General features: G+C 38.3%; 1 protein-coding gene and 1 long non-coding RNA gene across 12 annotated transcripts in view; one reads left to right on the top strand and one right to left on the bottom strand.

Annotated features, from left to right (window-relative positions):
- The window catches only part of LOC124900812 (uncharacterized), a 32965-nt gene extending 26466 nt beyond the window's left edge, over positions 1–6499 (top strand). The window contains exon 3 of the long non-coding RNA XR_007058367.1: positions 326–6499. This is a non-coding gene — a long non-coding RNA (uncharacterized LOC124900812). The remainder of the gene's footprint in view (positions 1–325) is intronic.
- Positions 1–7773, bottom strand: part of GALNT7 (polypeptide N-acetylgalactosaminyltransferase 7) — a 155157-nt gene that overhangs the window by 60951 nt on the left and 86433 nt on the right. The window lies entirely within an intron of this gene.

The following is a 7773-nucleotide window of genomic DNA, read 5'->3' as shown; positions in this document are numbered from 1 at the left end:
ACACCAAATGGTACCCATATTTAAGTTATTCTTCATAATAATATACCCTAATATACTTAATATACCTTCATAAATATACCCTAAATATAAAACACATACCACTTACACTGAATGACCTTGATGAAGCAGTAAGTCTTCCTTGATGAAGATTTATTAATTTTATTAAATCCCTTGAGTGTATGCCTTTTTAATATTCTGTGAGACGAAATGGGAAGTATGCATGAAAGACTTCTATTAGATATTCAACTATGATGGGTGTGTCAAGGAAAAGCGTCTGAGACTGATCTGTATGCTGAATAAGTTTTTATGATTTATTTTTTAATAGAATGCCATTTTCACTTGAAAGAAACAAAGGACAAACTATGGTCACTGAGATTGGTTATCTGGAAGTTTTTTGAACATGAATGAAGGGAGCCTGTCACTTCAACAAAAACAACTGACATCACTTGTTGCCAATGACAAAACTTGAGCTCTCAGGCGAAACTAAGAAATTTGGAAATATGACAGTTTCTCAGGAGTTAAGGCCTTTCCAATGAGACTGATGATGATGTTAACAAATGTATTGTTCTTATCATTATATAATGAAATTGTCAATATTTAAAAGATCTGCATTACTTGGGAAACCAATATTTTCCAAATGACCAACTCCTGATATTACAGCATCATACAATGGTAAAATGTCCTGTTAAAGTGCAAGACAGACTAGAAACAGTACTAAAGGTTCTTTTTTATGCTTTCAGATTCTATATTGCAGCTACTTTTTTAAAAAACTACCACTAGTTTTTAGTACAGTATCAAAAAGGAGTATCCACAATTACTTGAAAAAAGCTATTAAAATGCTCCCCCCTTTTGCAATTACATATCTGAGTGAGGCCAGATTTTCTTCATATATTTCAACTAAAACAACCCAGGGGCATAGACTGAATGCAGAGGTAGGTGTTGGAATTCAGTTATCTTCTATAAGCCAGACATTACAGAAGTTGGTAAAAATCTAAGACAATGATACTCGTTTCTTTTAATTTTAAAAAAATTATTTTCATAAAATATGTAATATGTAATGAAATTATTATTCTTAAATGAATTAACGATTAAAATTTTATTTTAATTTCAATGTTGTATATTTTGATAGTTAACTGACATAAATAAAAGCCTAATTATTTGCAGCTATCTATTATTTTTTATTTTTTAAATTTTTTTTGAGACTGAGTCTGGCTCTGTCCCCCAGGCTGAAGTACAGTGGCACAGTCTCAGTTCACTGCAGCCTCCACCTTCCGGGTTCAAGCAATTCTGCTGCCTCAGCCTCCTGAGAAGCTGGGATTACAGGTGCGTGCCACCACACCTGGCTAATTTTTTTTTATTTTTAGTAGAGATGAGGTTTCACCATGTTGGCCAGGCTGGTCTCGAACTCCTGGCCTCAGGTGATCCACCCGCCTTGGCCTCCCAAAGTGCTGGGATTACAGGCGTGAGCTGCCATGCCCAGCTGTAGCTATCTATTTTTTAAGCACGTTAAAGGGTGCTCTGTAAGCTCTGACAAGCCAAGTTATTAAATAAGTGTAGTGCAGGTCCTTGAATAACATTGCCTCATTCAACCTTGTTTTGTTTTAATGCTGATGAGAAAAAAAAAAACAAAAAAAAACTGATGCCACTGTCTGGGTAGAGTTTGCACACCCTTCCCTTGTCTGCATGGGTTTTCTCTGGATATACATCCCCAAGCTGTGCCCATTAGGTGAAATGCTGTGTCTACATAGCCTAGGGTGAATGAGTATGGGTGTGTCTGAGTACACCTGTGATAGGATGGCGTCCTGGCCAGGGAGGGTGCCCATCTTGTGTTTTCAGCAGCCAGAATTTGTTCTGGCTGCACACCACCCTAAACTGGAATGAGTGGATTGCAAATTATATGAATAAATACAAATTACTGTGAAATAAAAATGTGTAATGTAGACGACAATTATACAGATGCAGGACAATAAATGATGTGGGACAGAAGCGCTCAGCAAGCTCCCCACATTTGTTATTGCTTGTTTTTGAACTGCATGGTGGTGGAAGGTACTCCTGACAATTTTCGCTTCGTAAACGTTTACTCGTTGATTAAATTCACCACCACTATGAGTACCATCACTCATGGGTTCACCAAAAATTGAGTAAATCATCATCTTACTTGTTTTTATTAATATTTATTAAATGTATGCATACTTCACATTTATTTCAATATTTAATATTAGAAGTATTTTGGTCCTTACTTAGAAGTTTGGTGATATTTTTGTGACCAGAAACATGCCATAGGAACTTGACTCTTGTTTATGTTGTAAGGCACAATAACAAACATAAAAAGGCATGCTCATTTCTACTTGCCAACATAATTTCACAAAGCTCTTGATTCAGTGATGACATACAGCTCTGTAAAAAATACTTTAAAGACAAAACAAAATAAAACACATGGCCCCACCACAACTCTTGCCTCAGTCACTACATTTCTTAAAAGATCAATGATCCTAGTCCTTGTCTTTTCCTATACATAAAATAACATTTGACAAAATTAATGATTATACTTCTATAACCTATCACCAAATATACTCTTACACTGAAACTTAGATATAATTTTACACATATTAAATCTTCACCACCTACATGTAAACCATAAACTAAAATACTGCCTTAAAACAGCCTGACAGAATTGCTTCTGGGTTATAAGCCTCAGTCTATAGTCCTCAGTAAGACTTCCAAATAGAACTAACTTTAATTATTTAAAAGCTTAAATTTTTTTCCTTCAGTCAACAATATCAATTTGCCTATGGTAAAATTAGCTTCATTGTACATCTTCTTCCTGAACCTATTGAAGACACTGAGCAAGGACTCATAGTATTGTTACGTACTTTACCTTTGTATAATTCATTCTGGCATTCGATGGTATGTAACTACAATATTTATAAGTGAATTTCTTATAATAGTCCTGATAAGTATACTGTAAAATTGTCTTTGAAGGTTAATAAAATAAGCATGATTGATATTTTTCTTGTTACTTCAAATAATTTCCCCCCACAGGTATTAGCAATTCTTCTAATTAAAAATACAAGAAATGGGCCGGGCATGGTGGCTCACGCCTGTAATCCCAGTACTTTGGGAGGCTGAGGTGGGTGGATCACCTGAGGTCAAGAGTTCGAGACCAGCCTGGCCAACAAGGCAAAACCCCGTCTCTGCTAAAAATACAAAAACTAGCTGGGCGTGGTGGCGGGCACCTGGGATCCCAGCTACTGGAGAGGATGAGGTGGTAAAATCACTTGAACCCAGGAGGCAGAGGTTGCAGTGAGCTGAGATCGTGCCACTGCATTCCAGCCTGGGCGACAGAGGGAGACGCTCTCTCTCAAAAACAAAACAAAAAACAAAACCAAGTAATGGAAATAAGAAATAAGGAGGATAATTCAAGAGGAGAATGAGTTTAATATAACTCAGAATAAAGTTTGGACAAATATACACCAAATTCTGAAACGCCCTCAGTGGCCACCAACTGGCCAAAAGGTAGAACTAGAGAAATAGCAGGATTGGATCTTTTTTCTCCACTCCCGGTATTTGTTATTAAAAAAAAAAAAAGCGGGAGGAGGGAGAAGAGAGAAAGAGTTATAAATGCATCCATGAATGATTACTGTACTACCACCAACAATATTCAGATCTGCCATGATGGAGCCTGTGAACCTGCATGTAACCCCCTCCACTAATCTAACAACTATCTTCATCTTAGGACAAAGTCTTCCTATCTATTTGTCCCATTTCATCAATCTGTTCCAATTCTTCCCCTTAATCCTATAAATCCATCTCTGTTATTTTCATTGTGTCACACCCTCCTCCCATAACATTACCTCAATTAACCCCTTACAGCAGTGATTTTTAATCAGGGGTGATTTTGCCCCCCAGGGGGCATGTGGCAACATCTGGAGAACTGGTTGTCACAACTAGGGAGGTGGAAGCGGATGTGTGTGTTCCTGACATCTAGTGGGTAGATGCCACAGATGCTGCTAAACATCCTACAATGTACAGGACAAAGAACTGTCAACAAAGAATTATCTGGCCCAAATGTCAAGTGCCGAGATTGTGAAACCCTGTCTTAGGAGGCAAGAAAAAATTCTGCAATAATGACACACTAAACCTTTGCCTTTTACCTTTTTCTAACTTTCCCTGTAAAAAGAAGTTAATGTCCTGTAGCAAACTGGAACACAACCTCTTGGCTGTTAGCATCCCTAACAAGGCAATGGGTGTATATGCCAGAATTTGAGTCCCAGGATCTCCATCTTCGAGTTACGTGACCTGCAAGTTTTCTAGTTCTCTGAGCCTCACTTTCATCATCCAAAAATATAGTGAAATTGAAAATATACTATCTCAGTATGGTTATAAGCACAGGAGATAGTACATTTAAAAACCCAGCATACTGCTAGGCATATAGGTGTAACACAGGGACAGTGATGCTGCTGATCCTTACTGTCACTGACTGAGGCCCCCCCATCTCCATCAGCTGCTGCAACAGAGAGATAAGAAAAGCAGCAGTCACAGCAACAGAGTTAATTATGTGGAAGTGGAAGACACAGCTTAGACCTCATTTGAAGTGATCGAGAAGTATTCCTGAAAACCATATAAACAAGTGTAAATAAGTACACTAGGGCTGAACCCTTTCTGGGCCACTCTATGTCTACTGGTGCACACCCTTAGCACACTGTTAATTCCAGCCCTTCCACTCATCAGCCTCAACATCTGGCATATGACCCTGGAGCCAGAGACTAGTACCACAATGACAGAAGATATGAGGTCAAGAACCAACCAAACTCTAGTCTAGGTTACATTATTGTCTGCCCAGAAGATAGATAGATTCTTCTTTGTATTTGATTTAAATAAGAATACCCAAGGCTGCTTTCTTAAGTAGTTGTGTTTACACAGACTTCAATAGAAGCTTTCAAGAGAGTTTCTCTGTCCTCCTTTAATACCCCTTCCCCAACTCAATCTCACTGGGAGAAGAAATCAGCCTTAAATATCTTCCTTGGATGGGGACCCACTCCAGCAGGCCTGCAGCTTACCACGTGTGGACTCTGGAGGGAGCTCCTGCCTCACAAAAGTTGAAGTACATCCTTCTACTGAAGACTACAACACTTTCCTTTAAAGTGACACTTGTGAATCTCCAGGGTCTTAAGAATGTGGAGTTTAGATTCTCAAATCTTTCTCTAGAGCCCTTATCATGGTTTTAGTTCGCTCACTGGGCCTTTCTACTCTGGAGAATGCACGAATATTTTCCATTTGATTAAAATGGCAGGGTTCATTCTAAAATAAGTCACCAGGCTATTAAAAATGTGATTTACCTCCTATACAATAGCTACATTTTGAAGAGTGGAATCTCCCCTAGGATTCAGTGAAGAGGGAAGCAAAGCTACAGGTCATTTCCCAGGGACAGACTAAAAGTTTACTGAATGTAATTAAACTATATTATTTATATAATTTTAACTCATGTAATTAGCTTGGCTTTGGTGCTAAGCCCTTTTTCCTTCTTAGCACTTTCAACTTGTATCTTGCAAAAATGATGAAAGACTAAATCTATTTATGATATACCAAGTGTACCTTTTACATATTCAGCTTAAAATGAGCAAAGATAATTAACTTATTTATAAGTGCATTCAAGAAGTTATATAACAATTATTCAACCATTATTCATATTACTACTTCTACAATCCTTTCTGAAGAAAAAAAAATTGGTGCTTATGATCTTGCTTTACAGCTCTCTCCAATGACTTGCCTTAACCATGGGGAAACTGTCACAAATGATTCCTATAGATCAAGGAGTTGAAGTCAATTTTAAACTCAGAATGAGAGGAAGGAAGCCTCCCCTAACTGCCTCTAGCCTGGTTCAACTACTTTTAAAGATTGCCTTCTCTCCAACGCAGGTCCTTTTACCAGATATTCCAGAGGTAAAGATCTACATGTGTAAATGTAAAGAGTGAAGTCATCTGGAGTTTTATAGCCGACTATGGCAAAATTGAGTCCTGGCTCTAAACTGGGCCAAGTTTCTCCCCATTGTGGCCATATGTAATCCTTGCTGTCTATTGAGAGTCGTCTATTTTTCAGAATAGATGCTCTGCTTCTACAATAAATGGAGAGGTAGGGGATATTCCTTCTATATAAGTGTTGGTTTATGCTTGGTTTACCAGCTAGACAGTGTCATGTAAATTATTAATCTAAAATATAGAAAATATCTCCCATTCTTCCTTTTATATTATGGCTATATTATGCAAAGCAGTCATAGCATAGCCCTAAGCCCAGCAGTCTGGCTATGCCTACCTTTTAGGTGCAATTATAGGCATTTCTGCCTCGTATATGTAGTCCTAGCAATCTCTGTTTTGCAAGGGTATGCGAAAGAAAGAAACAAAGAAAGTAACAAAGAAAGAAAGAAAGACTTCAGAAAAAAAATACGGGAAGGAAGGAAGGGAGGGAGGGAGGGAGAGAGGGAGGGCAATAGGACTTAAAAAAAAAATAGGGACAATGACCAGACCACACAAACTTTAGGAACTTTGGGACCAGAGCCCTAAAGAAACCAAAACCAATCAGCACAGTTAAAATTGCAACTAATTTTTGCATTTCGTATGACAGTCCATCCTTTGCAAACTTAAAACCCATAGGCTTGTGTTTTCCTTTTTGTAGGTCTTTGGAGACATTCATTTCTAATAACAGAGCAATTTCACCAAAATTAAAAGTATGATCCAAGGATGGCCTTCTTCATCAATCAGTTTCCTTCTCAGTTTCTTTGGATGCACGTGCAGCTTCTTCAGACAGCTAAATATAGCGGCAACTACAGTGAGTGAGTCTTAAAGCCGGTAAACTCCCCATTTCTTTCACTAAATAAAAACACTTCTGCAGAAGAGAATTTTTTCCCCTTAAGGTCTTCATAAATAATTTTTTATGGCTGTCTCTTTAGCTGTGAGAAACCTTATTCCTGATCACTTCCAAACATTAATATGCAAGAGGAAATCTATGAACCACAAAAACTTACACACTGAATTGATATAATTTCCCTATTTACCAAACACACAGGAGCCAATATGCATCAAAGAAACATATATTGTAGTAGACAGCCTGTATCTAATGGTTCTGGAATAGTCTGAGCTAAATTACCAAAGGTGACCATGCTGACCCACTGAGGGAAAGGGGCGTGTGTTCCGCCATGCACACTGCACTCTAGCATGTCTGGGTCTATTGGCACAGGCTGTCTTTCGGAAGGAACTGATCACCTTTTGGCAGAGAACAATGACTAAATACTTTGAAAAGACTGTTAGCTCAAACACTGAGATGCTCTAGGAGGAAAGGGTACAAAAAACATCCCTTAATCTCTGTGTTGGTGTTTCCCATGGGCAAAAGACTTATTCGGAGAGAAAAAAAGAGTCAAGGTTTTCCTGAAATTGTCTGTCACTGGGGTGGGTTGTTATGGGATATCTAGTGGTGCCACCGTAAATATTTTTCAAACTAGTCTCCAGGAAACTTTTTCTAAATTCGTAGTTGGGGGTAGAGGTCTGTGAAAATACAATAAATGCAACGTGAGTTTATAACTTTTTATCAGGCATACTTTGTGAATTGTAACATTGGTGGCAGAGCTAGAGGGATGAAGAGAGGGGAAATGAAGATAAATCCTCTGTCAATAGAGCAACTTGGACAATAACCAGAGAGTGGGAAGGCTCTCATCAACCAAATGAGGTCTGGGCAGCAGAAGGACGTTTCCACCAAGGGAAGGGAGCCATCTAGAACCTA

The sequence above is a fragment of the Homo sapiens genome, chromosome 4 (genome assembly GCF_000001405.40).
Source record: "Homo sapiens chromosome 4, GRCh38.p14 Primary Assembly".
Classification (NCBI taxonomy): Eukaryota; Metazoa; Chordata; class Mammalia; order Primates; family Hominidae; genus Homo; species Homo sapiens.
The sequence above is the reverse complement of the archived record's forward strand: the minus strand, read 5'-3'. Positions and strand labels throughout refer to the sequence as shown.